A 14,362-nucleotide genomic window follows, 5' to 3' on the forward strand; every position below is an offset into this window, starting at 1 on the left:
CAAACTTCCAGAAATCCTTGTTTACAAGGCTGAGTTTTTATGTCATAGCGTGGCAGTCCAAAACTTTTTCAGCAGGTCATGGCTTTTTTTCTAGGAAAGTTATCTTTATAAAACACCTTGATAATTGTTTCCTTTTTGCATATATAACAAAATATCTAAAACAGACACTAGCATGAAAAAAATCTTATCAAATTAAAGGAAAAATGGATATTAAGTGATATCTTATGGCAGTCTTATAATGCTTTGCATACAGTAGGTACTCTGTAAGTATTTATTAGTTTAGTGAATTAGATAAAAAATTAAAGCGCAAGCTTCCCTGATTCTCTCCACTGTTCTAAAGACTGCATGCAGGTTCCTAAATAACAAGTGGTAGAACCTAGTGATAAGCAAATTTAAAGGTTTATTGATTATATGAATATATGTTTAGAAGTTTTAAATTACAATTTCAAACTGCATTTAAATGAACTTCTTCCACTTCAGACTCTCTCTGCACAAGATTACCTCTGTGCCACCCCTCTTCCCTGCTCTGTGTCCCTGTCTCGGTAGTTCAGCTTTTTATCAGCCTCTCTCAAGTGACATAAAAGCACTGATTTATTTGTGTTCCCCTTGACCCCAGAGTTTTCACAACTGAAACAAAATTCCGGGTTTCAGAGTCCTGTTCCTGCATGGGAACGTTTCATAATCCTCTTGTTCAGCTACTCAGAAAAACATATTCATTGTCCCTTCCTTTGTGCCCTCACAGCAGGTTGTGATGCCTTTAGGTTGCGCTGATCTCCAGCTACCTCCTTTGACTTGTCTGGCTAGGCAACCAGCCCTTCCTTAACATTTCCTGCCCTTCGTCTCCATGCCCCCACCCCTGTCTCTACCACAACAATTAAAAGAAGACCTCATTGTTTATCACTGGGTTGATAAACAATCCAGTTAAAATCTGAATTTAAAGACAAGATTTCAGCTGATATTTCGTGATCTTTCTCTATATACATTGTAACAAACAAGATAATTTTGAGTACTCTGAGCCATCAAGCAGTAAAATCTCAAGGGCTGCTCATTCACTCATTCTACAGCAGAACATTCTTATGTCCTTATTTCCTCTATTTTGTAAGTTTTGAATGTTTTAAGCATTCTCTTTTTGAATTCTTTTCTTCTTTAATTTTGTCATCCAGCCTGGCCAACATGGCGAAACCCTATCTCTACTAAAAATACAAAAATTAGCCAGACATGGTGGTGGGCTCCTATAGTCCCAGCTACTCTGGAAACTGAGGCAAGAGAATTGCTTGAAATCAGGAGGCAGAGTTTGCAGTGAGCCGAGACCACGCTACTGCACTCCAGCCTGGGTGACAGAGCGAGACTCCATCTTAAAAACAAAAACAAACAAAAACAAAAATCACTATATTTTTGACTAAGAGAAAAACTACAGGACATACTGTAGTAATAGCAATCACAAATTTTTTGGTCAAAATTTTCTCCATATTTTGGAAGAATTTAATTCTGCTTAACAGCAGTACATTGGATCAACGGTGTCATTCAGTGGAAAGTAGCGGCTAATTTCCATGCATTAGCTACAGTTTTTCCCTGATCTCTTAGAGAGGTGAGTCTGATAACCTTCAAAGCATAGGCAAAATCAGATTCTTTAACAATGTTTAGTAATATTAAATTATCTTCATGTTAGCCCATGTTTACATGATACCAAACAGATCATATTTTTAAGGACTATTCCAGCATCTTGAAGCAAAACAGTTTCTTTCTTAAAATGAGAAACAGAGCAATACACAAAAGTAATACAGAAAAGTTTATTTCATATATATACATCGAAGAGTGTATACGCTCTGAACCTCTAGTGTTAACCAAGATCGAATAATGAGTTTGATATAAAAAATTTTTCATTTTATAGAAACATAATATTTTGGAGCTTTGGACAAGGGCCTTACTAGCCTGGTGAATTTTTGTCTCATTGGAATACATACACTGATGTTTTGAGCACAGAGTACCTTAGCACCTCTGGGGAGTTTCTACTAGCTGCGAGGTATGAACCAATATGATAACCAAAGTCCTTATCTAATCGAAGTTACTGGAGAGGACTGTGGCCCACATGAGTTAAAGGTCATTCTGGGAGAATAACTGGTCTCCATGAAAGTGAATTGATACCTAGTTCTGTATAAGAACCCCCAGGATCTCTCCTTCAAGATGATTACTGTCCTGACTTTGACTCATCCTGGTCAATTAACTCTGGGAAATGGGGAACCTAACTTTAGAGGGAAGTGTTGGAAAACACCCCCAAGCACCAATACCCATAATATGAGGTCTAGGGCTTGAAAGCCGGGACAGAGGGTGACCTTGCCTGCTTTCATGTTGTAGCCCCAGATAAAGGAATGGTCACTTACCTAAGCACACAGTCAGAGCTGTGAGAGGTTAGTTTGCCTGGCCAGTAGGCAGCCAAACTGAGAAAATGAAGCACTGGAGACGGGGGTTGGTTATTTTCCATTTGCTGCCACTGCCCCCTAGATCCATTCTGGACCCTTTTCCACCCAGCTTTTTGTTGCAGGAGGACTGATCCATATGGATGGGATCCCCTTGCCGCCTGGAAGCTTAGGCCAGTGGGAGCCAGTGGCAGGATATTGGAGGGCAGAAAAAGAAAGATGTCAAACATTTCTTATGCCCTCCCTAGCTCCCTCTAACCCTACACACAACTTTACCCTCCCCCATCTCAAACCACTGGCTGGCGCCTTCCACAAGGACAGCTTCTATTGGACACCCACTCCCTTTCAAGACTCTAATTCTCACTGGTAATACTAGCTCCTTCCTTTGCACTTTGAGGTCTGGGGGTGCAAAGAGTTGGTGACTCAAGATGGTTTGCTGGTTTCCTCTTATCTGTCTACACCTCAGTAAACATCTCCTTTATTTCATGTTACCCAAACTCCTGCTGCTGTAACTTTTAATACCTGTTGGGACATGGCTGACAGAGTGGGAGGTGAATACATATATAAATGCATGCATACATATATATTTACATGCATATGTTTATGTGTGTGACCAGAGAGACTTCATTCCTAGCGAGGGATCTTTGATTTCTACAAAAAAGAGCCAAAGGCTGCAGAAACTTTCCCTTGAAGGAAGTGAGAAAGGGAAGGAAGAGAGGAAAGGAAATAGAGATAATTTCATCTTTACCTTAGCATAATTTTTTAGTCCTTGATGTCTGATATGTGTTTAAATATTAATAGTTTCCATTTCAAATAAGGAATGTTAGGCATGTTTTCTCATCTAAAGAATTCTAATTTTCAAGTCCTTAAAATAGATCTTTTAAGGTGTTAAAAAATCTAAATTAATTTAGATTTCCTAATTTCTTAATTTAAGCTATCTTAATTTAGCTAGTTAAGATCAAAAGGCAAACTTCAACAAACTATTCCAAATCAAAAGTTGGCAACCTGCTTATAACATAAGATTATTTTAAAACGTACACTTGTTTAGGAATGCGTTCTGGTCCTTTAACCAACTGCGTTACCTAAAAGAAAGAATAATATATGTATATATGTTGCACACGCATGGGTGTAAACTTTTGAAAGCATCTTAAAATTAACAAAAACAATCTGGGCAAGTATTTAAGAAATGTTTAGCATTTTTAAGAAAATCACTGAGTTATTTGTTGAAACTCTAATTTACTGTTATTGGTAACCATATAATTTCAAGGTTTATTTCCTAGCTGAATATATTCAAGGTTTGCTTTATTTTATAAAAGCTTTTGAAATAAATAATCAGTTCCCACATTAGCAGTGAGAGCTGAAAAACATCATCGCTGCTGCTATTGTCATTTCTTGAGGTTTTCAAATGTCGATTTTCATTCCAAAAGCTTATAACATGATGTGCACAATGAACAGGAAACAGATGTGTCCTAGAGATTTATTTTGATATTTTGTGTATATTTACTACAAACAGACAAGAATTAAAATATCAGCGTAGTGGAAATTATCTAAAAAATGATCTTTAAAATGTTCCTAGATTGTGGGTACACAGAATTTAAAAAATATATATACGAAAAATTTCCAGATTTGGGTTTCAGTCGTAGCAATTCTATTTATTATGTTGCTCTGAATTTCTTAAAACTAGGCTATCTACCTAGCCTTCCTAATGGGAATGCTGAATTCAAATATAACTATAAATGGAACAAATTCTAAATTAATTATAAAACGTCATGCAGATAATACTTATTTTTTCTGTGAGACTTTATGAACTTCATAACTTCTTATGAACTTGGTAACTTCACAAATTTGGAAAGAGACTAAATCTTTTCAAACAATGGTGAAAGACAATATTACTTAGAAGCCTATGAACCAGTAATATAAAGTCACTAAGGGAAGAAAAAGAGAGAAATATTGCAAAGATTCATTCTAAATAGGTAAGCATTTTAAAATAACCTCATCTTGTGTTTCTGCATAGACCGTTGCCATATTGTGGGGATTATGTGCTGAGGGGTATGTGTGTGTGTGTGTGTACACACTAACAGTCATGTGTGTGTTTCAAATGTTAGGACACAACCAAACTGACTTTTAACTTGCTGACTTGATTGGGGGTTTTTTTAGCTTTGAAATTTAGAAACAAATTTTATTTAAGATATGAAATACAATTTCTAAAATATCTTTTTCAGAAAACCATGGCTACACAGTAATAATTGCCTTTATCATGTTAGAATGTTCATTAGTCTCAAATAAAAAAACCGTGAAACAAACCACCATCCTTCAACAATTTGAGCAAAGATAGAATGCCTAAGGAACAACATAGGTGGACTTGAAGAGGATGGGCTGTTTTACTTCAACAACCATTAAAAAAACAAAAAAGAGCAAAAATGCATGGGTTTTGGGGTATATACATTAAGTTGAACCTTTGGCAGTAGGAATCAGGGCATTTTGTCACATAGCATTAACACATATTAGAAAATTGTGGGCCGGGTGTGGTGGCTCACAAAATTTTTTCTAACAAATCCAACATTTGGGATTCCTAACAAATGATTTCTATTGCTGTTTTCCCCCCACTTTGTTTAGGTTATACTTTCCTATTTCGTTGTAGTATTTTTTTGTTTGAACTGGAAATTTAAAATGTTACAATATGAAAAATCTAATTCAGATTCTTCACACTGGAGCTTATTTTTATTGTTGTCTGCTGTTGCTGTTGTTGCTGCTGCTGCTGATGATGATAATGATGATTTGTGTTTATTTAGTGACTTTCCTGGACTAATTCTATAAAGTCTTTTTGTGGCTACTTAAGTCTCTCCTTCATTAGCTTAATGGTTAATTAATAATTAAATAGAGATTTTCTTTAATATCTTAAAGAAACAATCAGTCTCCTAACCTTTGCTGAAGGGCTCTCTCTCTGTGTTGCAAGTACATCTTCAATGTGCCAGTGGGCATTTCACAACTCTACCTTAGCTATTGCTTCCTGATGGCACAAAGCCTTAAGTTCAGCCAGAGGTGAGAGATTGGGATCTCAGGTCTTTCCAGGCCGTATGCACAGACCCACACATGTACATGTACTTCTTGATTTCTGGAACATGTACAACCTTTCTAAAGTTCCCTATGGACATCTTTCAGATTACTTGGTCACCAATACCTTGACTGGTATTGCTGCCTCAGATTGCTGTGGGGTTATACAGTTGCCACGGATTTTTTTTTTTTTTACTTGAAATATAGCTGCTTTTATAGAGCTAGCTCTAAGACAGTCCAAATAAAGATAACTCTTGAGAATGGAGCTTTTCAAGAAATTGCCTGCAATACAGGTCAAATAGCAATACTTTTCTCAGGATGGGGTTTTACAGGAGCTCCAAAAGTGGCTGCTTTGTCACCTCCAATGGCTGCTAGACAGACTACTGTTCCATCACCTCCAGTGGCTGCTAGACTGCTGATTTTCAGGATTCCAAGGCCATTCACCTTCAGAGCTACCACAGAGCTAGGAAGTGAGGGAAAATGGAAATACAACAAATTAAAATGTCACAGAGTTTTCTGTTTTTCAAGATTTGGCTGTTTTGCTGGATTTCTTTGTTAATTTCTTCAAGTCTTTGGTTAATTACAGAGTTCTGAAAAAGTTGATTTTGACCATTTTTGCCAATATTCTCATTGCTTTTACGGAGGAAAAAAATTTTGGAGGTTATTCCTCCACAATTCCAGAAATATTTCTATACCTTTGTTTTAATATTGCACAAATATGCCTATTATTATAGTCCATACAAGACAAGTTTTTCATTAAAATATTTTAATGAAATTAAAGTATCATTTTTATTCATAAGACTTGACTTTGATTAACATAAAGTAGAAAATTAATTCATTTCCCCTAACTCCTGGTGATATAAACTACAAAACAATCTCAAAACTAAGTATTGTGGATATAATAAGGAAAATCTAAATATTGCTACTCTAGTTAGACTGAATTTATATTTAAATATTTTATACTATTTGAGTTTTTTGTTTTGCTTTTTTTGTTGTTGTTTTTTAGCGATGGGGACTCGCCCTATCACCCAGGCTAGAGGGCAGTGGTGCGATCATACCTTACTGTAACTTCTAACCCGTGGATTCAAGCAATCCTCTGGTTTCAGCCTCCTGAGTAGCTAAGACTACAGGTGTATGTCACCACATCTGGCTAGTTTTTTTAAAAAAAATTTTGTAGAGATGAGGTCCCTCTACGTTGCCTAGGCTGGTATCAAATTCCTGGTTCAAACGATCCTCCAGCCTCAACCTCCCAAAGTGCTTGGATTACAGGGTGAGACACCACACCTGGACCTGGGTTTGTATTTTTATGAGAGGTGTGGGTCATAGTAAAAATAAATTATATGATCTTGTAAAACATTAATATAAATATCCAGTTATGATGTAGTCAAATGCCAGGTACACATTGTTCGTAACTGTCCAGGCCTTTTTTCTAAGCATTTTAATACCCAACTTTGCTAAGCACTAATAATCATTCCTAGACTAATTAAATCCATTTTTTTTTTTTTGAGGCGGAGTCTTGCTCTGTCACCCAGGCTGGAGTGCAGTGGCGCCATCTAAGCTCACTGCAAGCTCTGCCTCTCGGGTTCACACCATTCTCCTGCCTCAACCTCCCAAGTAGCTGGGACTACAGGCGCCTGCCACCATGCCCGGCTAATTTTTTGTATTTCTAGTACAGACAGGGTTTCACCGTGTTAGTCAGGATGGTCTCGATCTCCTGGCCTCGTGATCCACCTGCCTCGGCCTCCCAAAGTGCTGGGATTATAGGCATGGGCCACCACGCCTGGCCAATCCAATGTATTTTTTATAAATGTACAGCAGATGCTTTCATTCTGTCCCAAGTCAAATGAAGACTGAGTCTGGCTCCAGTCAGTCTCCTTCAAACATAGGTAGGTTGGGAGGGAGAAGTTACTTTCCTCTCTTTATCACAATCACTTTGCCAGGTGTCTAGGGCCCACTCTTAAGGTGTTTTAAGTGCTGTACACTGTTGAGAGTTATGTTATCTTCAGGGATGGTCAGATGTGAATTGACTCAAGTAATAGCCAGGTCAACACAACAGCTGGCCATGGCTGATGGCGGACTTTAGTTTACTGGGTCTTAAAATAAATGATATATTTTGCTTTTTCAAATAGCAACTGATAGCCCATGAGTAGCAAGAAGGCACTGAATGGGCACCCGAACAGCTACCAGGTGCTACCAAATGATGCTGCCGCTTTAAGTATGGTTTGGGCCATGTTTGGATGCTCTTTCCACCCTTCTCTGCAGTCACTCTCCGTCCAGATCCCCCATTACAGGATCCACCAATTTCTCTTCATTCTTACATCCCTATGAGACTCTTTTTCATCCCAAAGTGTTCAGTAACATTCTGTAGCTCCTGGAGAAAAGAAAACTCACTCTTTGGCCATGTAATCCTCCATTTTTCTTTTCTTCTCAGCAGGAATTAATTTTGTTTTTAATCAATTCCAGAAAAAAAAAGAGGAGGGAGAACACTAAATCATCTATTAATATTAGGAGCTTGAGAGAAAAATGTAGTCTTAAAAAAGTTCCCTTTTTAATACGTCTTCTTTTTCTGACCTTGAGATATTTCCCTTCTGTATAATCATGTAATTGTTTAATTAATATTATTCTCATTTTACTATTAGCCTTGCTAATATTACAATTACCTATCCTATTACTTTTTATAGCTCAGATATATTTAGCCCTAATTTCACGGTAGAGTCTTAAAACTCTTGCCCTTGTTGCTCTGTGGCATATCTGGGCCCACATTGGAGGAAAAAACAAAACAAAAACAAAGACCTGAGCAGATCCTAATATTTACAGCCTTAATTTTGAACTTTCCAAACCTTCCGGTCCAAACCTTGCTCTACAGTGCTTCATCTTCAATTCGCATTTGACTCTTCATTCTTGCTTTACCCTGGTGTCTTCAGTGGTTTTTAACTCCCAATCTGCCCCTATCCCCTTGGCTGCCTACACTTTCCTTTTCTGGGGAGCAATCAGCTAGTCATGGGTATTTTTCATGAAGAGTCCTGAGCTTTCCTCCAACCACGCAGGGCCTTTAAAAGCAGTCCCCACCCCACAAAACAAAGACCTGGATGATAATGATTTAATGGCCCCTCCATCCCAGTAATTTACTTTGCCTTCCCCTAAAAAACTTAAAATGGCCAATATTGATGGCATACATTTACTAATGTTTAAATATCTATCATATGGTGTTCAATTAAAGTGTTTAAAGCTTTTTTGGGTACCATTACGAGTTGCTTCATTTTTATCTTCTTCCAATTTTAAAAGAATCACCAAGGATTATTCTTCTAGCCTATGCTTTCTCACCAGAGACAAATGTCCACTTTTACAGCTTTATTCTGGTAATGCAAATAATTTTATTTATAATAAATAATAATACATTTATTTACAGAAGGCATTACATTAAATTTCATTGTATAAAAGTTTCACAGTATACTTCTTGCATATGATATATTTCATCCCCTCTACTACAAAACTAAGATAAAAATCAAGCCACCTCAGAAAACAAATAAGAGAGAAAAACAAAAACAGAATAAAAAACTTGTTTGTATATGTCAATAAGAACTGTGAAAATATTCTGTGCTTATAAGAAGCCCAAATTCCCTGGTATCTTTCTAAGATCCTTTCCAATCTGGTCTCAGCTTCACTCACTTTTCTTAACTTCTATTCCAGTCTCTTCATCTATTTTCATGTTACCTCTGCATAGAATGCCCATTACCTTTTTCTCTACCTATAAAATCCCCTGCCCACTCCCTGCAAGGTTAAATTTCAGTGCCATCATCTATTTGAAAGCCTTGACTTTATTTATTCTCTATTATAGGGATCAGATGCAATTAGATCATTCTATGTATGTTGTCTCTACGTAGCCTGTGAATATTCCTGAGGTTAGGGCCTAGCACTTCAACATCTCTGATTCCCCAGGATCTAAGAGACTTCCTCCTGCAGAGAAGTAACTTTGTAAGTGTTTCAGTGCATTACATGAGCACAGATGCTGCAGAGAACAAACATTAGTAATTACTATCATTGTATAGATTATGATCTAGGAGAGAAGATAAAAAATGGTCACATTATTGTAAAATAAGCTATGTAAGTGTTATTATCTCAGAGCCAAATAATAGACTCCCTTCCCTTGATGCATTTATTTTGTATTAAAGACAAATGGTATTTCCCCACACATGTGTTTAGTGACCCAGTCCTACCACAAGAAATGCCAGTCTCCTTGGTTTGAAATACTAATTAATCATTTTTTGTTGTAATTCTGGGATTTTAGAGCCCACTTACTTTATTTAACTTTTTACAAATTGGTTAAAAGAAAATAATTAAATCAACCTGTTCAAATGATCCTAGAATTGCATAACAGCTTAAATATAATTAAGTCATATTTCAAATTAAGGGACCCAGCAATGCAGCTAAAATGTTACTGCTCATCAGTGGTTGTTATTCTGAGTCATAGAATGCCACGAATTGAACATTCCTGCCAGGGCACCACCCTGGTCCACCCTCCCCTGCTGCAGCCCTGGTGTGTCACTCATGTTGAAGTCTGCCAGTAAGTCCAAGGAAGTTTCCTATAGTGTTGAGAACTGTTCCTCACCAGGATTCTGAAGTCAAGTATTTTGTTTTTTTGTTTTTTCTTAAGTACCAGTTGCCCAAATGTCTTTGGACAAGGTTTCTGGCACAGGCTTGTTCAGGAAATAGGGAGGGAGAAACACCTATTTTATATTTTAAGTGAAAAAACACACAGGAATATTACGTAATAACAAAAAACAAATGGTTGGCTCATGGTGAAGTTTAAGTTCCATATCACTGTGACTTTATTTTGGTCAGAGAGGAAGCAATCATAGGTTCTCAAGGTATATCAACAACAACTATTAGGATAATTTCACTAGACTGTTTAATTTAATAGGCTTAAAATGAAATATGCCAATGTTACAATTGAGCACAAAACTACTTATTTTCTCTTCCTAGTTACAAGTGAAAGAAATTAATGAACAGCAGGTTTGCAGTGGAATAACAACTGTTGTATCCATTTTTGCCTCTGCAGAACATAGCCCTGGAGCCCAATATATGCCAGAAAATTAAAAATTATTGAACTAGACTAAGTTTTCCATATGAGTTAGCTTTGTGAGTTAGCCCCACTGTTTTGGGGTATATTCCCCTAAGTGCTTACATACTAAAACTTAAAAATCCAAATCTTCATAAAATCTTTGTAAAAACGGAAGCAGTTCTGTACACTTCCACCTACCCCTAACACCTGAGAGTGGAGGGGATGGGGTTGGGGTAAAACCACACTTTGATGCTACCTTAAAATGTATTTAAAATCTCATATTTGACTTTTAAAAAGAAAACATGATTTAAAAATATTTCTTATAAAAATCTGTTATTTTAGCAAACAACAATTTTTAAATTATTTATTTTTGAGTAAAATCAGCACCACCCCCACTACCCAGGTGGGAGTACCTTATTTATCCTGTAGCTTTGAGAACCTATAATCTTACTGCTAAAGAACCCTGGCATACATTAGACACGGAGTTCTAGAACCTCTTCTATTCCCCCAACCTCTTAGCGGAATGTTCTTCTCTTGTAAAAAAATTAAAAAAAAAAAAAAAAAAAAAAAACCTCTGACGGCCAGCCAATTTGAAAAGCAAATTCATGTGAACGTTATAATGGGTTCTGATGTCTTCATGCATACCCATTTTATAGAACTATCTTCAAGATAATTCCCTAATCCAAGGTAAATATTTTTAAAGCGAGGATTCCAGAAATAATAATAGGAGTTGATGGAGATATTTTTAGGCGGACATTAAAGTTCCTCTTCTGATGGCCATCAAATTTCACCACTTCCTACAGGGTCTACCACACGCAGAGCCTGCCCTGTTTACATGGTCTGTTTAATACCAATTCTTCTATTTACAGAGAAGAATGATTCATACTAACCGAGCACTTACTTTAATCCAGGCATTGTGCTAAATGCTCAGAGGCTCGGTTCATTTAATCCCCACAGCAATTCTCAGACCAGAAGTAGTACAGTATTTTCATTCCCACTTTACATTTGAGAAAACTGAGGCTTAGATAAACTTGATGACGTTTCCCAAATCACACAGCTACTATATTGTGGTTCCAGGACTTGAGTCCAAGCAGCGTAACTCCAGAACCTTACTTACTCTAGTTACTTTACTCAGTATATTAGATTAACTCCAAGAAGAATACTTTGGTTTTAAGTATATGTTTTTCTTTTTGAGATTATTGGTTAATAATCTCAATTACTCTTGCCTCATTTCATAGACATCCACTTTCCAAATTCTTAATCAGTTCAGTCTCTAATCTTTCAGTGCAGCCATCCCCAACCGTTTTGGCAGAGAGACCGGTTTCATAGAAGGCATTTTTTCCACAGACCAGGGGTAGGGGAAACGGTTTCAAGATGATTCAAACACATTACATTCATTGTGCACTTTATTCCCATTATAATTATGTTATAATATATAATGAAGTAATTATAAAACTCACCATAATGTAGAATCAGTGGGAGCCCTCAGCCTGTTTTCCTGCAACTAGACGTTTTCATCTGGGGATGATGGGAGACAGTGACAGATCATCAGGCATTAGATTCTCATAAGAAGCGTGTGCAGTTCACAATAAGGTTCATGCTCCTACTCATGCTTCCAAACCCTTAAAGAGATCTGATCAAATCAAGTCTCATTTAAAATAGAAAAGTATGTAGTATAAAGTCTAGAGCTGAAACATTTGTCATCAAGTGTCTCATATCAATAACTAGTTTGTGACTCTGGGCAAGTTTCTGTCTTCTCTAAATCTTTACTCAATGACATGTCTTTCTGTCAGTCAGAATAAAATTGGTTAAGAAAATAACCGGCTTGACATTTATTTGTATTTGGGTTTATTGAAGTTCAGAAAATAAGCACTGATTCTAAAATTAATTCTCTAACCATAGTTATCTCTCAGTCTCTACATTTGTATTGACTAGACATATAAAAGATTCATAAATATGTAAACATGTAAACATAAAATTTGTAACTTGTGAAAATTAATTGTAACAATATCACTGTTAGTGATGGTTATCACCAATAATTTGTAAGTCCTAGAGGAAATAAAAATATTAAAATTGAAATTATATATTAGCCCCCAGAAGAAAGGTAAATTTCCCAGTAATTGTAAACTTGAACATATTATATGTTAACCCTACTTTATTTCAATATTTTACAATTTCTTTTTGTTTTTTCTAATGAAATATATTGCAATTTGCTAAAATGCCATATATGTATTTGCATATGTATGTATATGCTGTACATATATATGTACACATACATACATACACATGATTGTGTATATATAGACACACTATTATATGTTTTTGAAAACTAAGCAATTTGGAGAAATATCATTGGGAAAGTACTTACTATGATTTTTAAATGTCTACGAATTAATCAATATCTATTGGTTACTGTTCAAAGCACAGAGAGTCATACTGAGAGGCATAAGACATAACTGATACTACCAACAGGGAAACGAGATATACACAGGAAATGAATTCCTTGGCAGGGTATGAGAGCATTGAACACAAACAAAGGAACTTAAGTAAAGTCCAATGGGATTGAACTGTGACCCAACATAATACAATTTTTCTAGAGACTCATTTGTGTAAATTTGAAGACAGAACTGAGAAATGACATTATAAAAACTAAAAACGGGAGAACGAGATTTTTAATGTATTTACTAAATAGTGAATCAGTTCAGATACATAATAGAAAAGGAATTTCTTGATTAATGGGTCAACATACTGAGATCTGATGGCCTTCAACCTCCTTGGGTCTGCCCACCCCATTTTTGACGCTCCTTAAACTTCTTCAACTTTTGTCTTCTCCAGCTTTTAGTTGCTGTGATCCTCTATCTGGCAATGTATCCAGTGAACCCTGTGGGCTTCTTCCTTCCTGTCCCTCGTGTTACCTGTTCTGTGCTACCTGTGTTGCGTTCTGCTCAACGAACCCTCCTTTGGGTGGCACTCTTGTCCTGCCTAGCCCTAGTTCTGCTAGAGATGCTCAATTAGTTGTTGAGTTGAAGAATTGAATTGAACTGTTTCCCTCAGATTCCTCTAAACACAAATCCACTTATTCTTTCTGTCTTTGAAATTCTCAAAACCGCTAAGACACAGCTATTTTGAAAATAGCCAGCATTGGTTGAAGCTAGGGTGAATATGGCTTTTGACTCAGAGAGGTTGTTCAACTCACCAGGAAAGGGAAGCATTGCAAGTTCCTAAGCACTTCTGGACTCTTAATGCATTTTCACTCGTGAAAGTTTCAAGCAAGAAAAAAATAAAGTAGTGCCCCGAGTTCTTTATTAGATTCAATTACCAGCGTACAAACATCCTAATTCACTTAAACAAAATAGCCCACACACATTCCATTTCCAAGGAGGCTGCTTTTCTTCCTCTCTTCCCTTCTCGCTCTCCCTCTTACTGTTTTTCCTCCGTCTTGCTTCTCCTTTTCTCCCCTTATCCTAGTTATCTCAAAGAAAAGCTTATCTGCAACCACCCTTTAACCACGAATTACCATAAACGAAGCAACCCCCCCACCCCCCCATAAGCGAAAGCAAAGCCCTCAGTGGAGCCTGTCGGGGTGGTGGGGACGCCCCCTTTCGTGCAAAACGACTTCACGGTGAATTTCAAGTGTCCGCAGGGGATGGAAGGGGGGATTCCAGATCCTCGCATTTTCACAGACGGCCTAATCCCTCTGCGCAATGGACCCGGGAAAGCTGCCTCCCGTTAAGGGCGCCCAGGCACTGTCAAAGCGCCCTCCCTGCCCGGGCCGGGAGAAGTAAGGGGTGTGAAGGCGGAGCCACTGGGCTGGCAACACCCTCCCGAA

General features: G+C 37.2%; 1 long non-coding RNA gene across 10 annotated transcripts in view, besides 2 other annotated features; it reads right to left on the bottom strand.

Annotated features, from left to right (window-relative positions):
* PELO-AS1 (PELO antisense RNA 1) overlaps positions 1-14,362 on the bottom strand; it is a 127,387-nt gene that overhangs the window by 100,115 nt on the left and 12,910 nt on the right. For 9 of the 10 annotated variants that reach the window (NR_186455.1, NR_186449.1, NR_186447.1 and 6 more), the window contains exon 2: positions 11,994-12,051. This is a non-coding gene — a long non-coding RNA (PELO antisense RNA 1). Of the gene's footprint in view, positions 1-1,776; positions 5,935-11,993; positions 12,052-14,362 lie in introns of those variants that run through there. The other variant, NR_186454.1, reaches the window with a different exon arrangement.
* Positions 463-980: an enhancer, noted in NCBI's record as "NANOG hESC enhancer chr5:52069838-52070355 (GRCh37/hg19 assembly coordinates)". NCBI's record gives its function as "activates a minimal SCP1, AML or CMV promoter by ChIP-STARR-seq in primed H9 embryonic stem cells {active_cell/tissue: H9 hESC(primed)}" and the evidence as "EXISTENCE:reporter gene assay evidence [ECO:0000049][PMID:30033119]".
* Positions 14,063-14,342: an enhancer, noted in NCBI's record as "active region_22544". NCBI's record gives its function as "activates an Ori minimal core promoter by ATAC-STARR-seq in GM12878 lymphoblastoid cells {active_cell/tissue: GM12878}" and the evidence as "EXISTENCE:reporter gene assay evidence [ECO:0000049][PMID:35858748]".

The sequence above is a fragment of the Homo sapiens genome, chromosome 5, assembly GCF_000001405.40.
Source record: "Homo sapiens chromosome 5, GRCh38.p14 Primary Assembly".
NCBI lineage: Eukaryota > Metazoa > Chordata > Mammalia > Primates > Hominidae > Homo > Homo sapiens.